Here is a 22,702-nt window from a genome sequence, read left to right on the forward strand (position 1 = left end):
TATATTCATTTATGGAATGCTTTGTGGTTATGAAAAATAATAGGTAGGTCTATACATATTGTCATGGAAAGATCACTAGTATGTATTTTAGTTTTTTCTTTAAAAAGCAACACCAGTATATCATTTGAGAGTACTTAACATCCTCACTATTTGAAATCTATAAGATTATGTTCATTTATTACTTATATGGATTTTTATATGAGCTCATATAAAAGGTAGGCCACAAGGCCGGGCGTGGTGGCTCACGCCTGTAGTCCCAGCACTTATGGAGGCCAAGGTGGGCAGATCGCCTGAGGCCAGGAGTTTGAGATCAGCCTGGCCAACATGGAGAAACCCTGTCCTCTACTAAAAATACAAAATTTAGCCAGGGCCAGGCGTGGTGGCTCATGCCTGTAATCCCAGCACTTTGGGAGGCCGAGGAGGGCAGACCACTTGAGGTCAGGAGTTCGAGACTAGCCTGGCCAACATGGTGAAACCCCGTCTCTACTAAAAATACAAAAATTAGCCCATTGTGGTGGCACGTGCCTGTAATCCCAGCTACTTGGGAGGCTGAGGCAGGAGAATTGCTTGAACCCCAGACACGGAGGTTGTGGTGAGCTGAGATTGCTCCACTGCACTCCAGCATGGGTGACAGAGCAAGACTCTGTCTCAAAAAAAAAAAGAGCTGGGCATGGTGGTGCATGCCTGTAATCCCAGCTGCTACTTGGGAGGCTGAGGCATGAGAATCGCTTGAGACTCTGTCTCAAAAAAAAAAAAAGAAAAGAAAAAATAGAAGGTAGGTCGGGCACAGTGGCTCACACCTGTAATCCCAGCATTTCAGCAGGCCAAGGCAGGTGGATTCCCTGAGCCCAGGAGTTTGAGACCAGCCTTGGCAACATAGTGAGACTCTGTCTCTGTTGAAAATAAAATAAAAGGCAGTGATAGTAATTTCATAAACAATAATACTTATTAAATTATTATAGTGCCCATGTTTTAACAGTATTGAATGCCTCATTATAATAACATTGTTTTCTGTACTATATATCTGTTTTTAGACATTTAAGGAGCTATAAATTATCTTAAGATAAATTATAGATGCCCCCAAGGATTTCTATTAGGAAATATTGAAGATGCAGTATATTGCATAGTTTCTGTCTCTACTTGAGTAACAACCAGATGGATCGGTAAGATGAAAACAGATGAAATAAATTTTTTAAAAAGTATTTTATATATGTATATATTCTGTTGGTGTGCTTCTAGGAATTTGTCCTAGGCAAATAATCCAACAAGTACATAATGACAAATATACAATAGTATTCATTGCAGTGTTTATAATAATAATAATAAATGGCACATAACCTAAGTGACCATCAATAGGTATTAAATAATTTATGATAAACATAATGAAATATTATGTAATAATTAAAAATAATTATTTAGCTCTGTAGTTATTATCAGATAAAACCTACAGTCTACTAAGAAGGGAAAATAAGTTTACTACATTATATATAATATCTTCTCTCTACAGATTGTAAGACTGGAGTAGTTAGGGAAAGTAAGGAATAGAATAGATTTGGATAGACAACATATAGAAGAGGACATTTTAAATGAGCATTTCCCAACCTTTTTGGAATCACATTTCTTAATTTTAAAATTTTATCAATTTGCATCGTATATGGTAAAAAGTGGTTTTTAAGTAAAAAGTATTTTATATCAGTATAATATTTAAAACTGCTTTCTGAACCAGGCACAGTAGCTCATGCCGGTAATCCCATCACTTTGGGAGCCCGAGGTGGGTGGATCACTCGAGGCCAGGATTTCGATACCAGCCTGCGCGATATGGTGAAACCCCGTCCCTACTAAAAATACTAAAATTAGCTGGGTGTGGTGATGCATGGCTGTAATCTCAGCTACTTAGGAGGCTGAGGCACAAGAATCACTTGAACCCAGGAGGCAGAGGTTGCAGTGAGCCAAGATCGCATCACTGCTCTATAGCTTAGGTAACAGAGCGAGACTGTCTCAGGAAAAAAAATTTTGCTTTATACATTTTTGTTCTTTGTTCTACAGAATCATTTTTGGCTCATAGTAAGGACACTTTCTAATGATTAGAACTGTTTAACAGTTTAAGATTTCAGGCATTGTATGTCACTGTGTGACCATTTATCATATATGCTGAAAATAAACTTTAGGTCTTACCTGATTTACTGATTTACTGGACTTGACAAGTAGCAAATTGATTTATGGCCCCGTGGACAAAGTTCATTCCCTGTTCCTGAGGGTCTGTGGAAATCTCTTGTAAGGAAAAGTAGTGTCATTTTTTTTTTAATTTCCAAGTTATAAAATTGTATTTCACAGTGTTTAGGAATGCCATAATTTGTGGCATTTTTAAGGTGTATACTTTATTCCCACATAGGCCGAATACATCAAGCAATGGTAACATCTTTAAATGAAGATAATGAAAGTGTAACTGTTGAATGGATAGAAAATGGAGATACAAAAGGCAAAGAGGTAAGATCACTGAGTTTAATTTTATTCCTAGTCCTGCAATCAAGATTCTGAATATAAAACAAAACAGAAAAGTACATAATGTTATTTTATTTAGTGCATATATTTTTATTATTCCTTGAAAACTTTCAAATGATTAAAAATTTTCACTTAAAGGTAGATTCCTCCTGTATCTCTTATGTGATTGCACATATCAGTCTTAATTATTTGATAAAATATACTATTCTTTAAGTCTAGCTCACACAGTTTGAAAATGTGCTATAATATTTAATTATGTGGTTCTATTGGTCACTGTGTTGTTAGCAATTCATAGAGTCAAGACTATAAAATGATATTTTAAGAGAGATTCTTTAAATTTGTGGATTATAATTCTAAATCTCATTTGTAAGGCTAAGGCACTGTATTCTTTTTTTTTTGTTTTTGAGACAGGGTCTCACTTTGTCACCCAGGCTGGAGTGCAGTGTCATGATCATGGCTTACTGCAGCCTTGACCTCCTGGGCTCAAGTGACCCTCCCACCTGTCTCCAGAGTAGCTGGGACTACAGGTGTGCACCACCACACCTGGCTAATTTTTGTATTTTTTGTAGAGATGGGGTTTCACCATGTTGCCCAGGCTGGTCTCAGACTCCTGGGCTCAAATGATCCGCCCACCTTGACCTCCCAAAGTGCTAAGATTACAGGCATGAGCCACTGCACCCAGCCGAGTTACTGTATTCATTAGGCTAAAGTAATTTAAGAGTTATTTACTTCATCAATTTACTTGAAAAGTAAAAGGTTAATTGTCAAAATATACTCTCAAAAGACTATGTGTATGTGTTGTGAACAGATTGACCTGGAGAGCATCTTTTCACTTAACCCTGACCTTGTTCCTGATGAAGAAATTGAACCCAGTCCAGAAACACCTCCACCTCCAGCATCCTCAGCCAAAGTAAACAAAATTGTAAAGGTTAGTGATGAAAATTCAGAGTGCAGGACACTGGGAGAGAGCGGGAGTTGTAGATGTGTGTGTGTTCTAGTTTGAAATTGGTAGGCTTTGAAGAGTTTAAGAATTGATTAATTTGCTTTTTCTGCCATCATATTCATATATATACATACATATTTTCAAGGATTGAGGTTGTCTAATTCACAATTATGACCATCGTTGGATAAGGTCTTAGAAATTTCTCACCTAATTAGTATTTTTCCTGAGACTAAGTTTCTCAGGAGATATAGATCAAAACCATTTGCTTGGTGTTTGTTGAATGAAGACATATGACTTTGACAAAGGCATAATAGCTGTTTCTTAGGAATAATAACTACCAACTCTGATAGTCTTTTGAAAGTATAATTCTGCTATTTGTTTCTTAAAGAAAGATGGGAAATGATAGTGTAGTTCACTTCTATATTGACTGTCATGATATACCTTAAAACTGTGCTAAATCCTCCCTAGCAGTTTTATCTTTATAAAAATTAAAAGCACATTATTCTTCTGGCTTTTAAAGATAATTCTCCTTCCTTTCTCTCAAGACCTTTCAGTATTAAATTTTTGTTTCAAAATACAACTCTTTTTAAAACAGGTAGTATTGCAAAGTTGTTGAATCTGCGGTTCTTTGTGTTCATCTCAACAAGCATTTGTGGTTTTGTTGTTGTTGTTTTGCTTTTTTACATTGTGCCAAATACTATGCTGGACAAAATACAAAGATGAATGATGACATGGCTTTCAGCCTGTAGGAACTTGATATCTTTCAGGGAGGACATAGATAAGCATTTAAATATAGTATAATAGAAGCAACAAAACTTTGTTTCATAAACTATGCAGTTGAACCTGAGGCATATTTTCAACTCATGAGTTTAATCATATTGAGAGTCACCACTTAGAGGTTATTAGTTACCACTTATACATGGATTATTTTTTATATTCATCTTCAAAATGAGGGATCTTCATTGGAGGATTTTTGTAGTTTATTCTTCCTGGTATATCATTAGCAACCTTTACTGTACATTAGAATTACCTGGAATAGATTAAATCAGTATATTTTAAAAATAAATATTTATTTTAAAAATAAGGATTTATTTTAATTATAAATAAGTATTTTTAAAAGTATTAAAAATATTTTTAAAGTATTAAAATAAATCAGTATTTTTAAAAATACTGATTTATGGGCCCCACTCCCAGAGATTCAGTTTTATTTTACCTAAAGGGAGACCCTGGCATCAGTTTCCTTTTAATAGTACTCATCTGATTTGAATGTGCATCCAAGGTTAAGACAGCTACATTATTTGATATCTTTTTTTGAGGTGAATAAAAGGAAGTCTTCATGAATGAATTAGAGGACCAAAAGTTTGCTGCCTTAATCTGTACAGTGTCCAAGTCTTAGAAACTCTTATGAAACCTTTTTAGGATAACTGACAATGTACATTTTATAGTATTCTGATATTTCAGTTTAACAAGGGGTTCTAAGCTGTCTAGAACTAATATTTTATAAATTACCCCCTATTATTCAGAAATGATGATTAAAACACATATTATTGTGAAGCTACTTAACCTCTCTTTGTTTCAGTTTCCTCATCGATGAGATGGGAATAGCAGTAGTAATGACCTCATAGGTTGTTGTGAAGAAAGTCCTTAGATCAGTGCCTGGCTCATATTAATTCCTGAATATTTTTGGAGGGTAGGGGAAAATATATAAAGGAACTTGAATATTGATAGCATTAATAGTAATTCATTAAGATTATAGTTTTTCTTCATTTTGTTTTATATTCTTACATGTCTGCCTACTTTTGTTTAATTGAAAGAAGCTCAGATCATGATACATATGAGGGAGTAAAGATAGAAAACATAATGAACATTTTTTCCTTTCATAGAATCGACGGACTGTAGCTTCTATTAAGAATGACCCTCCTTCAAGAGATAATAGAGGTAAAGTAAAAATTTATCTCTTAATTTTGGCTATTGACTTCTTAGTATGTTCCTGACAAGGTAAATCAAAAGTAAACATTACCCTTGATGTTGGTATTTATTTAAATTTTACCTGGCTAATTTTAAGAGGTGCTTTTTTGTTTTGTTTTGTTTTTTGTTTTTTGGTTTTTTTTTTGAGACAGGGTCTTGCTCTATCACCCAGTCTAGAGTACATTGGCATGAACACAGCTCACTACAGCCTTGACCTCCCAGGGTCAGATGATCCTCCTGCCTCAGCCTCACATGTAGCTGGGACCACAGGCATGAGCCACTATGCCCAGCTAATTTTTTGATTTTTTAGTAGAGAGTCTTTCCATGTTGCCTGGGCTGGTCTTGAACTCCTGGGCTCAAGTGATCCTCCTGGCTTGGCCTCCCAAAGTGTTGGGATTACAGGCATGAGCCACTGTGCCCAGCCTAGTGTCTTCTTGATCTCCTAATACAATATGCCAGTAATACTGAAAAATGATTTTGTCCAGGTGCGGTGACTCAGGCCTGTAATCTCCACACTTTGGGAGGCTGAGGCGGGTGGATCACCTGAGGTCAGTAGTTCAAGACCCCCCTGGTCAACATGGTGAAACCCCGTCTCTACTAAAAATACAAAAAATTAGCCAGGCATGGTGGCAGTGCCTGTAATCCCAGCTACTTGGGAGGCTGAGGCAGGAGAATTGCTTGAACCTGGGAGGCAGAGGTTGCAGTAAGCCAAGATCGCACGACTGCACTCCAGTCTGGGCGACAGAGCGAGACTCCATCTCCAAAAAAAAAAAAAGATTTTTAAAATGTATGGGATGATGGCTGGGAACGGTGGCTCACCCCTGAAATCCCAGCACTTTGAGAGGCCGAGGCGGGCAGATAACCTGAGGTCAGAAGCTCAAGACCAGCCTGGCCAACATGATGAAACTCCATCTCTACTAAAAATACAAAAACTAGCCAAGTGCAGTGACACATACCTGTAGTCTCAGCTACTCGGGAGGCTGAGGCAGGAGGATCGCTTGAACCCAGGAGGTGGAGGTTCAGTGAGCCGAGATTGTGCCACTGCATTCCAGCCTGGGCAATAGAGTGAGACCCTGTCTCAATAAATAAATAAATAAATAATATAATAAAATAAAATGGATGAGATGAATATGAAATTATGAAATGCAATTTTTAATTCATCTTATTTACTAAATAATTTTGCAAATTCGAGAAGAATATTATGAGAAAGAAAGGAATGGGGAAAGAGTCAATTAGTTGGCTGATTTCACTAGCTAAAGAAGTTGAACAGACATAAAAATTGTGTAGTTAACTGAAGTCTCCCATATATTTTCAGCCAGGACATGAAAAGCATAATGAATTTATTTTCTATTGTTAAGTAGTTCAGAATTGTCTTTTCTGGCAGTATTATTTCTCTGTGTGTGGATGGTAGAACAGGATGGACAGAAGTATTAAATGAGAGATTGGAAGTGGAGGGACAGTCCTTCAGTTTAAACACTATCTTTTGAGTCTTATGTAAATTTATATTTCTTTTAAAATTTGATATTTATATTTAATTTTATATTCTTTTTTCCACTTGTATAATATCCACATTGGGAAATTCTCTGCTGAAGATTTGCATATTTGAGGAGCAAAGAGTGGGATTTGGAATATAGGGAGGGTTGAAGCTAAGTTTTTACTCTCTGTATATATTTGATTAGTGTACATTTTTAAAAATGAGAAGGCATGTAAAATTTATATTTTGCCGGGTGTGGTGGCTCACGCCTTTAATCCCAGCACACTGGGAGGCCGAGGTGGGTGGATCACCTGAGGTGAAGAGTTTGAGGCCAGCCTGACCAATATGGTGAAACCTCGTCTCTACTAAAATTACAAAAATGAGCCAGGTGTAGTGGCGTGCGCCTGTAGTCTCAGCTACTCGGGAGGCTGAGGCAGGAGATCACTTGAACCTGGGAGGCGGAGGTCACAGTGAGCCGAGATTGCACCACTGCACTCCAACCTGGGCAACAGAGCGAGACTTCATCTCAAAAAAAAAAAAAAAAATTATATTTTACACACATATTTTAGGAGGATTTCTTTGCAGTTTAAAGTTTTAAGACGTGGAGCGGTTTATATATACATATATATTTTGTTTTCACATATATATTTTAAAGGATTATTAAAAAACAAGCTTGGCTTTGGCTTTTATGTAAATTATTTAGATTGAATTTTGTAGCTAAAATTACATTGGTGAAAGCTAAGTCTGCACGTATTACTTTGAAAGCCTCTTTTAGCTTATGTCAGTTTATTGAACAGAATTATTATAAACTATATTATATTTTACATACATAAATAGAAAACCTGGCAACTTACTAATGTAACTTTTAAGTATCAGGTTTTGGGGGCTATCTCTTCCTTTTACTAAGGTTAGCTTTTACTAATTTTCTATCCTGAATTTAAAATTTTTTTTTTTTACTTACAGTGGTTGGTTCAGCACGTGCACGGCCCAGTCAATTTCCTGAACAGTCTTCCTCTGCACAACAGAATGGTAGTGTTTCAGATATATCTCCAGTTCAAGCTGCAAAAAAGGAATTTGGACCCCCTTGTATGTAAATTATGTATCAAGGATTTAGTCATTTTAGGCATACATGTATTCTCTCTTGGTCATCCTTTTAAGTCCTCAAAGAGTAAACACTCTAAATACAAGCTTGATTGCAGATTTCATTTTACCACTGTGGAAAATTTAACTTCTTCTTATTAGTCTGTTAATTGGGTTTTTTAAAGTATATTTTGGAGCAAAAATTTTTTTGTGAAATTATAGCAATGTTTCAGTTTGAGTTTAAAATTCTGGGCAGATGATAATTTGTCAGATGTTACAGAAGAATGTGTTGGGCTCCTTGATTCTTTGAATTAAAAAGTCTGTGTTTCTAAACCAAGAGATGACATGTATCAATATGTTTGAGTCATTTTTCTGGACTCTCATCTGTACATTGTCCTATTTTAGTTTTGGTAAAGCAGCTCATTAAGTAAAGCTCACGTAGTTGTTATAGGCATGCTTTGTCACTGTGTACCTTTTATGTGTGTGTGGTGAAGTTATACATAAAAAAAGTTTAATATTAGTACTCTAAAAAAGAAAACTATACTTCTACAGCTCATCTTTTCTTTTCAGCACGTAGAAAATCTAATTGTGTGAAAGAAGTAGAAAAACTGCAAGAAAAACGAGAGAAAAGGAGATTGCAACAGCAAGAACTTAGAGAAAAAAGAGCCCAGGTTCGTAACATAAACATATATTTTGTTTATGTACCAACCAGAGATTAGATTATATCAGTGAAGGTGATTGATGTGAACAAAATAATTAAGGCATTTTTTTTGAAGAATTTTAAGAATTCCTTAAATTGATATTGAGGAATAATATAAACTCTTGTGCAAATAAGTTACCGTAACACATTTTTACTGCATTGTTCTTTTCATGTTTTATTGGTATGTGTTAACGCTAAAATTTGTTCCATTAAGAAAAAGCCATTGTGTTACAGAATTCTAATGTGTATGGTGTAACATTTAAGAATTTTTATTTTAAAAAGACCTAAAAATACATTGGGAAAAATACCCAGTTAAAGTGCATGATTAAACTATAAATTTTATTATTGTTTTTCTATGGTTAGTAAGTTCACATGTCTTAGTGAAAGGGGGGAAATTCCTTGGATTTTCATTTATGCCACATATGAAGAGTGGATCTCTATTGTGTCCCCCTCAGGGTCCCTTCAGATGGTAGCAAGACTGTTTAATAGCAGTGGGAAAATTGCATAGAAAACTGGTCTTTTACTCTTCTACAGGTCTTTACATATTAGACATTTTGTTATTATACATAACTGCACCATTGTGCTTGTATGGCATCTATTACATTTTCAGAACTACTTTTCTCTAATAAAACATCAAGATTATTTATTTAATAGTATGTTCAAATGCCCTTAATCATGTTAAACTACCAGTTCAGATGTTGTGTTGTGGAATTGTGGACCTAGTATTATATCCAACCTGAATGAATCAGCTTTTATCTGAAAGTGACCTGAGAATGACCAGTTGGGTTTTGAAATGAATAATAAAACATATTATCTACTAATACTTAGCATAGATGCCACCTGGTGTTTCCTGTGGGTACTTCATAATACTTACACATCTCTCTGTGATCTCTTAATTCTCACTTCACAGTCTGCTTCTCAGTTGACATAGGTGGTATTATTTCCTAGAAGAAGGTTAATTGAAAGTAAGTTTCAGTAACAGTTTGTAATTTAGTTGCATTCAAAACAAATCTGAATATGATGTATAAAAAAATGTGACTTCTTAGAATGATTAATAATTTATTGTTCAAGGCTAGGAAAGACTGTTGACTATTGCTATTTGTATCTTAATCTGAATTTCTGTTTTGAAGCCAAATAAATTGTAGTTGGCATTCAAAAATTTGAATTTTAAAGTTTTTTTAAAATGATCTTGGCTTCTGATTCCTTTAAGTTCTATGTTCTGTTGATTTGGGGCAGTTTTGTCATTACTTAGTATTTTTTAGAAGGTCAGCAAAAATAGAAAATGAAGACAAATGAATCTGTATTTATACTTTGCTGAAACACTGGATTAAATTAGAAGATGAATCTGATTAAATGAATTTTCCTAGAATTTCAGCTTTTCTAGAGTTATTTGCCAGTGGTAACATGAGCATTATTTCTCTGTTGCTGCATTTTATAGGATAATTAAGGTATATGTATAACAGATGGATTTTTGAAATAGGTGAAGGGTAACTTCAATGAAGAGTCCTTAATTTGGAGTTAACAGAATGCATACCGACTAAGAGAATTGTGTTTGTAAAACACAATTTTACAAACACAAAGTGGTTCAGAGCTTATTATGAAACCACAACTGTGAAACTATATAATATCGTCAGTTTAAGTTTAGGCTTGGTTATGACAAATGGCACAATTTAATTTTAATTTTCAAACCAAATATAAATGTAACAAATACATTATTATATTTATAATGGTGAATTCTCTCTGTCTTCTAATAGGACGTTGATGCTACAAACCCAAATTATGAAATTATGTGTATGATCAGAGACTTTAGAGGAAGTTTGGATTATAGACCATTAACAACAGCAGATCCTGTAAGATTCTTTGTAAACCATTATTCTGGAACTTTTTATGCTTCAAATAAAAACGTGTTTGACACTTGCTAAATTCATATTGTGTTCAGCTATGTAGTTTTTCCTTTCCTTGTGGGTGCTCATTCCCCATATTTTAAGAAGAAAATCAAGAAATTATCCACATTAATGCTTATTTTCCATAATTTGGTATATGAGATATGCTCCCTATAGAGATGTCCTTCTCGAAGCAAAACCTCCCTGTCTTTGGGAGGGCAAAGCAACACTTAAAGGAGTGATAGCAGAAGACTCACTTTCCTTTCTGACTGTGAGTTATACTTTGATCTCAGTTCCAAGCTTATCTTTGTCTTGGGCTGTAGATCCCACCATCATTTCTAATTTACTATTGGTAATTTGTTAGTTTTAAATGTTATTCTGGCTTTTAACAATAAGTGATGGTTGTTGAGGGCTGCAGTGGACCAGAAATCTAGAACTGGAAAAAATCCTCTGCTGTTATTACTCAACTCCTTTGCTGTTGATGAATGAGAATTCATTGGACAGGGAGTGCCTTTTTTTTTTTTTTTTTGAGATGGAGTCTTGCTCCATCGCCCAGGCTAGAGTGCAATGGTGTGATCTCCGCCTCCCAGTTCAAGCGATTCTCCTGTCTCAGCTTCCCAAGTAGCTGGGACTACAGGCGCCTGCCACCACGCCCGGCTAATTTTTGTATTTTTAGTAGAAACGGGGTTCACCTTTTTGGTCAGGCTGGTCTCGAACTCCTGACCTCAGGTGATCCACCCGCCTCGGTCTCCCAAAGTGGGAGGCCTGTAATCATGCCTGGGATTATAGGCGTGAGCCACCACGCCCAGCCGGGAATGCTTTTATAACTAATTTGTACTTATAAAAATAATCCATCTGACATAGCATATACAGAATGTGTTAGTTACAAAAAAGACATTTGTGTTAGATAGATGTATTATATAGAATTGAATAGAATTGTTGATAATACTTGTATCCCACATATTTTAGGCCTTGCTATTCCTTCATGTGTTTCACTTACTGCATTAGAGCTCACCCTTTAGGACAGGAATTGGCAAACATTTTCTGCAAGGGTCTTTGGCTTTGGAGCTATATGGTCTTTGTCACAACTACTGAACTCTGTCATTGTATTGTAAAAGCAGCCATAGACAATACATAAATGATGGGTATGACATTTGTTTCAATCAATGTGTGTCAGTAAAATTTTGCAGAAGCAGGTAGTAGCTAAATTAGACCCACAGGCCATACTGTGCTAATCCTTGCTTTATGTTAATTATTATTAAAATGAGGCATGTATTGGGAACAAAATTTTTATAAAAAATACTTATGCATAAGAATTGGCATATTTATAAAATAGTTCAAATTATTTGGCTCAGTAATCGTCTGAGAATCCTGTTTCTTGCCATAGTTATCTTTGCTAGCAACTTTCCCTATGATCAACCTATGAAAATATGTCACTTAGTAGAATAGAAATGTTGACTTTTGTTGTGTATAGCACATCTTGAAGTGGATAATACAGCTTTTTTTTTTTTTTTTTGGAGACACAGTCTTCTCTGTTGCCCAGGCTGAGGTGGAGTGGCAGGATCTCGGCTCACTACAACCTCCACCTCCAGGGTTCAGGCAATTCTCGTGCCTCAGCCACCTGAGTAGCTGGAATTACAGGCATGCACCACCATGCCCAGCTAGTTTTTATATTTTTAGTAGTGATGGAGTTTTACCATGTTGGCCAGGCTGGTCTTGAACTCCTGACCTCAAGTGATCCACCCACCTTAGCCTCCCAAAGTGCTGGGATTACCCACCATGCCTGGCATCACAACTTCTTTTTTTTTTTGGTCCAGAGATAAAGTCTCACTGTCACCCAGGCTGGTGGGCAGAGGCATAATCTCGGCCCGCTGCAACCTCCACCTCCCAGGTTCAAGTGATTCTCCCACATCAGCCTCCCGAGTAGCTGGGACTACAGGCATGCACCACCACTCCCGGCTAATTTTTATATTTTTAGTAGAAATGGGGTTTCTCCATGTTGGCCAGGCTAGTCTCAAACTCCTGACCTCAGGTGATCTGCCCACCTTAGCCTCCCAAAGTGCTGGGATTATAGGAATGAGCCATCATGCCCGGCCTCCTCACAGCTTCTTAATGTGAACTTAATGCTACTAACAATAGTAGTACCCTCTACAGAATTATTTCCTAAAGTGATGGTTTTCCAAATAACAAAATAAGCAAGTTTCCATTACACTCAGAATTTTAGAAGTAATTATATCTGACAACCATTAAAATTTGTGCAAAGCTAATTTGTTTTTTAAGCTTACCTATCATTTATGCTATGTATAAATTTCTAAAACCCCTGGAGGAAATATTACATAATTTACGTTTTAGTGTTTTACATGACACTAATAATCACTGAAATAAAATACTTTTTATTTCTAGATTGATGAACATAGGATATGTGTGTGTGTAAGAAAACGACCACTCAATAAAAAAGGTATGGCACTTAATGAGCTCTAATAAAAGATTGATTTTATCTTATTTGTAATGTATTTTTATAATAGCAAATCAAATTGGTTTGGAAAAAATGTAAATCATTTCCTTTGATTTGTATGTAACCATTATGCAGATTTCTATGGCTAAACTTGTCAGTTTGTTATTGCTCTGAATCATTGCCATTCCGAGTCTTGCTTCACAGAAATCTTGATTTTGTTTTTACTTTGCTGTTGAAATATTTTGTCTTAGTGAGTTGCATTTTTATGGGATATTATCTTTATATGTACAGAACTTACTACTTGTATCTTAGTTCTTACTACTTAAAATAATTTTGTACATGAACTCAAATGCTGTGAAAATTATTGGGCATTGATTTTCATTTATTCTTTTAGAAACTCAAATGAAAGATCTTGATGTAATCACAATTCCTAGTAAAGATGTTGTGATGGTACATGAACCAAAACAAAAAGTAGATTTAACAAGGTACCTAGAAAACCAAACATTTCGTTTTGATTATGCCTTTGATGACTCAGCTCCTAATGAAATGGTTTACAGGTAGGTAAATTCATTTTAAATCAGAATTTTGTTCTTATGCCATGTGGTCATCAGCACCTTGAAATTTACATTGATTGTGGGATATTTCTTAAGAGGTGCAATATGCTGTTTTATTCTGAGTTTAAACAAAGAGAATGTAATAAATGCTGTAATGAATATTAACACTTGTTCTCTGTAATGCTCCCCAAAATCATAGTTTCCATTACTATTTGCTAATTAGCTTATTACACATATATATACATATATATACATATCACACAAACCATGTATATGGATAAGAAATTTCGGGAAAATGTTAACATTACCTCTAGGAATAGGATATGATAAGAAGACTTTTAATTTTTACCTTTTAATCTCTGTACTAATAAAGAAACTTGAAATGTTTGTTTGAGGCATGGTCTTGCTCTGTTGCCCAGGCTGGAGTGCAGTGGCACGATCACAGCTCACTGCAGCCTCGACCTTCCAGGCTCAGGTGATCCTCCCATCTCAGCCTCCTGAGTAGCTGGGACCACAGGCATGCACCACCACACCCAGCTAATTTTTGTACTTTTTGTAGAGTTGAGGTTTCGCCATGTTGCCCAGGCTAACCTCAGACTCCTGAGCTCAAGTGATCTGCCCGCCTTGGCTTCCCAAAGTGCTGGGATTACAGGCATGAGCCACTGTTATGCCTGGCCAAAATACCTGTTATCAGTTAATTATTAATTTATCTAAATCTGTATTTAGTATGTATTGTCACTTAAGGCGAAAAAGTTCCGTACTTGTATTTAAATTTGTCATCTTTAAGCTTGGAGATAGTTTTAGTACATGAGATTCTTGTATGTTTTCTGTATTCAACTTAAAAATAATTCAAATTTATCTGTGTTATACATTGGTATCTCAAATTTTTATGCCAGATTTAGATTTTCATACGTAAGTTTGCAAACATTCATTTCTAATAATTATAACACCAGTTTTAGCAGTATTGTTATTTTGGTTTATCTAGGAATATTACTGTCTTTGTAATTGCTTGAATACTATATCTGATTGCCCTTTTTCATAAAAATGCCTAGAAAGGAAAAAATTAGAGTTAATGAGACTAAGAATTGAAGGTGTTACAAAGGAAATACTTTTGAGACCAACTCTTTTTGTCTTCACCAAGTGTACTGGGTAGTCAGTTGTAAAAAAAAAAAGGATCAAATTAAAGGACATATGAATACTAGATAGAGATATTTGTGAAGAATATGTTTAAAGGGGAATCATAATTGTTAATTGTAGAATTTTTTTTTAGCTTTCTGAAGAGTCCACTTTTCCTTTTCATTCCCTCTTTCTACTCCTGCCTCATAAAATATAAGTTTGACTTTTATAATAGTTTTTAAGAAATTATTACAAATACAGGCATGTTTCTGTGTGTATGATTTAGTAAACATTGTGTTTTTACCCTATGTTTATGTTTCTTAACTTTATCAATATTTATCCTTCTCCTCTATCTCTTATACTTAACTATTATGGATTGAGGAGTTACATGTTTTTTTGTGGGTAGGGTTGGGAGGTAGGGGTTTGATCTACTTAGCAGGCTCATCCCTAGTTCTGTTTGACCAGAACTTTTTCCTGCTCCTTTTGTTCTGTACTTTCTTCAGTTTTGCCTTTTACAAAACAAAACAAAGACAGCAGTTATATAAAATGTTCTACTTGTAGATCTGTTTTCCATCTTTTTTTTTTTTTGTTTTTTTGAGGCTGAGTTTTGCTCTTGTCGCCCAGGCTGGAGTGCAGTGGCATGATCTCGGCTCACTGCAACCTCTGCCTCCCAGTTCAAGCGATTCTCCTGCCTCAGCCTCCTGAGTAGCTGGGATTACAGGCGTGTGCCACCACGTTCAGCTAATTTTGTATTTTTAGTAGAGACGGGGTTTCACCATGTTGGTCAGGCCGGTCTCGAACTCCTGACCTCAAGTGATCCACCCACCTCAGCCTCCCAAAGTGTTGGGATTACAGGCATGAGCCACCACGCCTGGCCTCCATCATACTTTTTAGTGTACTGCTCAGGGGAAAAGTACTTCTTATACCTTCCCACCTTTTTATTTTAACTCTAGCAGTGGGTTATACCAATACATTTGAAATATAATTCAAGGCCGGGTGCGGTGGCTCATGCCTGTAATCCCAGCACTTTGGGAGGCCAAGGCGGGCAGATCGCCTGTGGTCAGGAGTTTGAGACCAGCCTGACCAACGTGGTGAAACCACGTCTCTACTAAAAATACAGAAATTAGCTGGGTGTGGTGGCAGGTGCCTGTAATCCCAGCTACTCGGGAGGCTGAGGCAGGAGAATCACTTGAACCCGGGAGGCGGAGGTTGCAGTGAGCTGAGATCGCGCCATTTGCACTCCAGCCTGGGGGACGAGAACGAGACTTCGTCTCAAAAAAAAAAAAATGTAATTCAAACCATAATATTTAGGTATCCTTTTCCTAAATTGAGAGTGTCAACTTACTAATAGAATTCATTTTCCTACAAGCACAATTTATATTCTTTTTGCTTAAGTATAAATTACTTGTCTAAATTCAAGGTAATCAACATTTTTCTATTTATTTAGATGGTCTATAGATAATATTTTTGCAGTTTTTTTCCTCTATTAACTTTTTAAAATTGAGATTACCACTCTTGTTTATTCTGTTTCTGTTGAAATTATAATACTTTGTGTTTGTTTTTATTGTATATGCCTTATTGTGACCATTATTTATTATGGAAATATTGCTTGAAATTATGCTTTAAGTAGTTTAAGTAATTTTAGCATATGATATTTAAAATTCTTAAATCAATTCTTCGATATTGTTATTTAAAATTTTTAACAAAGATTTGTTTAGAATCTTGCTATTAAGTTTTATTTATTAATAAAATACTTTGTATTACTCAGCATTACTATTATTCATCAAAATATTGGTGACACATTCTGACTGATGCATTTTATTTTTAAGGTTTACTGCTAGACCACTAGTGGAAACTATATTTGAAAGGGGAATGGCTACATGCTTTGCTTATGGGCAGACTGGAAGTGGAAAAACTCATGTAAGTAATTTATTAAAGTTACATTCTGGTACGAAGCTACAGTTTCTTTTCCTTATAGCTTAATTCTGTGAACTAAATTCTTAAGAGTTATTCCTGAGTAATGTCTGTTCTTTATTTTCTTTTTAAAATATAGACTATGGGTGGTGACTTTTCAGGAAAGAACCAAGATTGTTCTAAAGGAATTTATGCATTAGCAGGTAACTGTCCTTTTTCCATAAAATTTGGAATATTCTTCTGTGGTATTATTCAGGTAACTTTGAAATAAGGCTTTAAAATATTGTTCAGCAACTATAATGCTATATTAACTGTCTATTATGTCAATTATAGGTTATTAGATTGCTTGAAAAGAACTATAAGATTATATATTCACAATAATTTTTTTTTTTTTTAAGAAGACAAGAACTGTAGGCTGGGTGTGGTGGTTCATGCCTGTAATCCCTGCACTTTGGGAGGCCAAGGTGGGTGGATCACTTGAGGTCAGGAGTTCGAGACCAGCCTGGCCAACATGGTGAAACTCCATCTCTACTAAAAATACAAAAAAAAACTTAGCCAGGCGTGGTGGCGGGCGCCTGTAATCCCAGCTACTCAGGAGGCTGAGGCAGAATTGTTTGATCATTTGAACCCAGGAAGCAGAGGTTGCAGTGAGCCAAGATCATGCCACTACACTTCAGCCTGGGCAACAGACCAAGACCCCATCTCAAAAAAAAAAAAAAGAACTGTAAGATTGATTTTGAGGGGGCAGAAATCTTGATTATATTTGTCAGTGCATTCTAGCACATTGTTGGAGATGAGTCTCAATTGTTGAATTTCTGAACTGTAAAAAGCTACTAGCTATGGTATAAGAATAACCTCATTATGACCACCTATAATTTTATGCTATTTATAAATATAAATATTAATATATATAAATAAAAGTAGCACCCTTTTATGGCATATGAAAGAGAATAGCTTCTATTAATACTATTTTTTGTAAAATTAATATTCACTTTCTCATTTTTATTATTGATACTGTTATCCTAGGTAAAGAGTAACTGATTCCTCTAGAAATAGAAAATTTGAGTTGCTTTTTAAAAATATTTGTTGGATCTCAATTTTCTGTATATGAAATTTTTGACAGCTCGAGATGTCTTTTTAATGCTAAAGAAGCCAAACTATAAGAAGCTAGAACTTCAAGTATATGCAACCTTCTTTGAAATTTATAGTGGAAAGGTAAGTGGGAACTTTTTTAATTTTAATTTTTTAAAATATATATATAACATAACATTTGCCATTTTAACCATTTTTAAGTTCAGTGGCATTAAATATATTCACATTGTTGTGCAGCGTTTACCACCATAATTTATGTGTATTTAGAACTTTTATATTAGAATTTATGTTATGAGATTTTTTTAAAAAGTCCTTTGAAACTTTTCAACTTCAGTGTTGAGAATTCTTATTCCAATTATTATTTTAATCTCTGAAATAATTCTTAAACTCTGGGTGACTCATTTTTATAGAACTGATATTTTAATTGCCACAGGATCTCGCTGTGTCACCCATGCTGGAGTGCAGTGGCATGATCACAGCTAACTGTAGCTTCAATCTCCTGAGCTCAAGTGAGCTTCCCGCCTCAGCTTTCCTAGTAGCTGCGACTATAGGCATGCACCACCATGCCCAGCTAATTTGTTTTATTTTTAGCAGAGACAAGGTCTCACTATGTTGCCCAGGCTGGTTTTGAACTCCTGAGCTCAAGCCATCCTCCTGCCTCAGCCTCCCAAAATGCTGGGATTACAGGCGTGAGCCATTGCACCTAGCCTGTTTTTTACTTTAAAGCTAGTTTTCTAATTTGAATATGGTTTTTCATAGGTGTTTGACTTGCTAAACAGGAAAACAAAATTAAGAGTTCTAGAAGATGGAAAACAGCAGGTTCAAGTGGTGGGATTACAGGAACGGGAGGTCAAATGTGTTGAAGATGTACTGAAACTCATTGACATAGGCAACAGTTGCAGGTAAATCTCATTTTGATTAAGAAAGGAAACATCAGTTTTAGAAACTTTGGGTACAGTATAACAAAATGAGGATGTTATCTATCAATACATCTTGGAAGTAAAAATCATTGTTCATAAAAACTTGTGTTACATGTAAATGTGAGTGACAATTATTATATTGATACTACATTACAAATATATTAGAAATATGCCGGATTAAATTGTATGAATCTGGTTCTATTTAAGTGTTATAACTCAGTGTCTCATCTGTATTTAAAAGATGAAAACTAGCTAAATCGATGTTTTTGCTGCTGTTGTTTTTAATGAAAATAATGTGGTTTGAACATGTAAATTGAAGTTTTTAATGTATCAAGATGTCCTTAATCACATTGTAGAACATCCGGTCAAACATCTGCAAATGCACATTCATCTCGGAGCCATGCAGTGTTTCAGATTATTCTTAGAAGGAAAGGAAAACTACATGGCAAATTTTCTCTCATTGATTTGGCTGGAAATGAAAGAGGAGCTGATACTTCCAGTGCGGACAGGCAAACTAGGCTTGAAGGTGCTGAAATTAATAAAAGCCTTTTAGCACTCAAGGTAAATAAAATGTATTTTATCATGAAAGGTCTTTTACTTTTGACTTTAATTTTCTTTACTCAGTTGCAAAATAGTAGTACTTGTTTTACCTAATAAAAAGAGGTTTTCAAAATTCAGATGCTTGTAATGTATAGTGTGATTTTATTATACCCAGATTTTTTCCTTGCACACATTCTTTATTCTTTTTAGATGGGATAAAGGATATGTGAGTTAGTAGGTCAGTTCTGGGGCTACATAGGTAAACTCCAGAGGTTTTTTTTTTTTTTGAGACTGTGTCTTGCTCTTTCGCCCAGGCTGGAGTGCAGTGACACAATCTCGGCTCACCGCAACCTCCACCTCCTGGGTTCAAGCCATTCTCCTGCCTCAGCCTCTCCAGGAGCTGGGATTACAGGCACGCACCACCACACCCAGCTAATTTTTGTATTTTTAGTAGATATGGGGTTTCACCATGTTGGCTAGGCTGGTCTTGAACTTCTGACCTCGTGATCTACCCACCTCAGCCTTCCAAAGTGCTGGGATTACAGGCGTGAGCCACCGCGCCCGGCCCAGAGGGTCTTAATTAGTCATATTTTCTAGGAGGAGGGCAACGAACCACTGAATTGAGCTAAGAAACAGTTTCTCAGAAAAATGTGGAATGGCTTTCAAAATGTTAGGCCAGGTTATTACATCTTTTCCTTGAGTAGAACACCAAAGGTTGGAAAGACTAAAATAAGGCATTCTGTGTTTTTTTCTTTTGGAGTGCCATGTTAAGAAATTAACTTTTTACAGTTATCCTACTGCCTGTCACTTTCAAACACTAGTCATAGTTTCCAGAAATATCTGTTGGAAGAATAAAGTAGGTTTTTTTGCTGTCATTTTTTATTTTCTTGAATTAGCATTTATGGGAACATCTACACTATGCTTTAAAACTGTTGGCCAGGCGCAGTGGCTCACGTCTGTAATCCCAGCACTTTGGGAGGCCGAGGCGGGTGGATCCCCTGAGGTCAGGAGTTCGATACCAGCCTGGTCAGCATGGTGAAACCCCATCTCTACTAAAAATAAAAAACAGCCAGTCGTGGTAGCAGGCGCCTGTTATCCCAGCTACTTGGGAGGCTGGGGTAGGAGAATCGCCTGAAGCCTGGAGACAAAGGTTGTAGTGAGCCAAGATTGCGCCACCACACCCCAGCCTGGGTGACAGAGCGAGACTTTGTCTCAAAAAAAAAATAAAACTGTTAGTAGAATTTTCAAAACTGATCAGACCCTTAAATGTTCAAGTTGTAGTAAGAGACCTTTTAAAATATGTTAATTAAGATTATCCTTTATAAGAAAGACTAATCTGTGAGACTTGTTTTCTTAATTTTCAGGAGTGCATCAGAGCCTTAGGTAGAAATAAACCTCATACTCCTTTCCGTGCAAGTAAACTCACTCAGGTGTTAAGAGATTCTTTCATAGGTGAAAACTCTCGTACCTGCATGGTAAGTTTATGTTTATTTTTTGTTTGTTTTATTTTAATCCTAAAGGAATAACTACACAATATTTATGGAAAATGTATTTGTTAGTGACAATTATTTGAATCCTTCTATTTTGAGTGATATGGTGATATTTAAGATGTGGTCCCTGCCACTCTGATAGAGAGGATTATATTGCAGTTATATAATTCCAGCATCTAGGTGTTATTGAGGGCTGGTCTTTCTTGATTTTCTTTTTCTTTTTCTTTTTCTCTTTCTCTTTCTTTCTTTTTGAGTATAGGTCACACTTTTCTTTATGGTCATATGTCTGGTAATTTGGGGTTATATCATGTGCATTATGAATGAACATAGAGACTGGATTCTGTTATGTTCTTCTGAAGATTATTGGTTTTTTGTATAGCAGAAATTTAACTAAACTTGCTCCAAACTCTTATCTCCCCTGGGCAACAACTGGAATTGAAAGCTTTGTTTAGTCCTTTCAGATTTAGCTATGTTGCTTATAGTTTGCCTTGTATAATATATGTCTAGGTCTGGAATCAGCTAGGGATTTGGGCAGTTTGTATATAAAAGTTTGTCCCAGAAGGGAGAGTACCACACTCTCTGCAGCACTTTCCCTTCTGGGACAAACTTCACTTTTCCAGCTGCTATGAACTCCACTCCCAAACTATATCCTTTCATTTCTTTACCAGAGAGACTGCAAGTTTTCAGTCAAGTTTTAGTTGCCCTGTGTGACAGCAGCAAAGCTTGCCCTCTGTCAAAAAGCTGTTTAAAAAAAAAAAAGTCAGGTGGAGTGGGGGTCAGTCAGTACTATTCCCTTCCAGGTATTAACCTCCTCCATTTCAGCTGGAGTTTGATTGTTTTCTAGTGCCTTCAGAGTTTGTATTTTAACTAGACTTTATCTGATTATAGATATGATAACAAATAATCTTGGAGTTGAGATATCATTAATAAGTCTTTATTTTTAAATAACCATGGTAAGATTAGACCTAAATGAGCTGTATGTCAGTATTATTGTCTTGATCATTTATAACATTTTGTTTACCTTTGCATTTTTTTTTTCCTGTAGATTGCCACAATCTCTCCAGGAATGGCATCCTGTGAAAATACTCTTAATACATTAAGATATGCAAATAGGTATGAGAGATAGTTCTCCATTTTGAAATTTGAGGGGAGTACAGCAGTACATAGTATAATTTAATATCTGCCTCGTGCGGTGGCTCACGCCTGTAATCCTAGCACTTTGGGAGGCCCAGGCGGGCGGATCACAAGGTCAGGAGATCGAGATTATCCTGGCTAACATGGTGAAACCCCGTCTCTACTAAAAATACAAAAAATTAGCCAGGCATGGTGGTGGGTGCCTGTAGTCCCAGCTACTCGGGAAGCTGAGGCAGGAGAATGGCCTGAACCCGGGAGGCAGAGCTTGCAGTGAGCCGAGATCACGCCACTGCACTCCAGCCTGGGCAACAGAGTGAGACTCCGTCTCAAAAAAAAAAAAAAAATTAATATTTGATAGGGTAAATCTTACTACATTGTTCTTTCAATTTTCAAGAAAAAAATGTTTTGCATATTATTCCTTAAGATGACAATATAGAATCATTTTGTCAAATTCTAAAAATAAGTGGAAATGGGTAATTTGGGAAGGGATTGATAACTTTAGTAAAGTTGGTCTTTTTATCCTAGAACAAGGTTTCCATTTCACTGTTTTATTTCCTAATATTTTACTGCATTTAAATCATGCAAATTCTTCTTATTACATTAAGACTCTGAAGTAAATGAATGTCAGGGGCCAGTTTGTATTTCTTGAATTGTTTTGGTATATGTTGCATATTATTCCTGATAATATTAAATGCTCTATATGGGGAATCTAGGATTTGAGTAAGAAGTGATAGCACAGTTCTTTCTGGTGTTTTTTTTGTTTTTTGTTTTGGTTTTTTTTTGAGACAGAGTCTTGTTCTGTCACTCAGGCTGGAGTGCAGTGGTGTGATCTCAGCTCACTGCAACCTCCACTTCCTGAGTTCAAGCGATTTTCCTGCCTCAGCCCCCTGGGTAGCTGGGACCATAGGCGTGTACCACCATACCCGGCTAATTTTTG

The 22,702-nt window shown here is 36.0% G+C and overlaps 1 protein-coding gene across 4 annotated transcripts in view; it reads left to right on the forward strand.

Annotated features, from left to right (window-relative positions):
- KIF2A (kinesin family member 2A) overlaps positions 1-22,702 on the forward strand; it is an 84,820-nt gene that overhangs the window by 38,532 nt on the left and 23,586 nt on the right. For 3 of the 4 annotated variants that reach the window (NM_001243952.2, NM_001098511.3, NM_004520.5), the window contains 15 exons: positions 2,393-2,487; positions 3,311-3,430; positions 5,329-5,383; positions 7,851-7,973; positions 8,538-8,638; positions 10,422-10,517; positions 12,954-13,008; positions 13,400-13,562; positions 16,505-16,595; positions 16,729-16,792; positions 17,713-17,804; positions 18,441-18,583; positions 18,958-19,162; positions 20,506-20,616; positions 21,677-21,744. In NM_001243952.2, the coding sequence (NP_001230881.2) occupies positions 2,410-2,487; positions 3,311-3,430; positions 5,329-5,383; positions 7,851-7,973; positions 8,538-8,638; positions 10,422-10,517; positions 12,954-13,008; positions 13,400-13,562; positions 16,505-16,595; positions 16,729-16,792; positions 17,713-17,804; positions 18,441-18,583; positions 18,958-19,162; positions 20,506-20,616; positions 21,677-21,744 (1,565 nt within the window). In that variant the 5' untranslated portion in view covers positions 2,393-2,409. The remainder of the gene's footprint in view (positions 1-2,392; positions 2,488-3,310; positions 3,431-5,328; positions 5,384-7,850; positions 7,974-8,537; positions 8,639-10,421; positions 10,518-12,953; positions 13,009-13,399; positions 13,563-16,504; positions 16,596-16,728; positions 16,793-17,712; positions 17,805-18,440; positions 18,584-18,957; positions 19,163-20,505; positions 20,617-21,676; positions 21,745-22,702) is intronic. The other variant, NM_001243953.2, reaches the window with a different exon arrangement.

This window comes from Homo sapiens, chromosome 5 (assembly GCF_000001405.40).
Source record: "Homo sapiens chromosome 5, GRCh38.p14 Primary Assembly".
Lineage (NCBI taxonomy): Eukaryota > Metazoa > Chordata > Mammalia > Primates > Hominidae > Homo > Homo sapiens.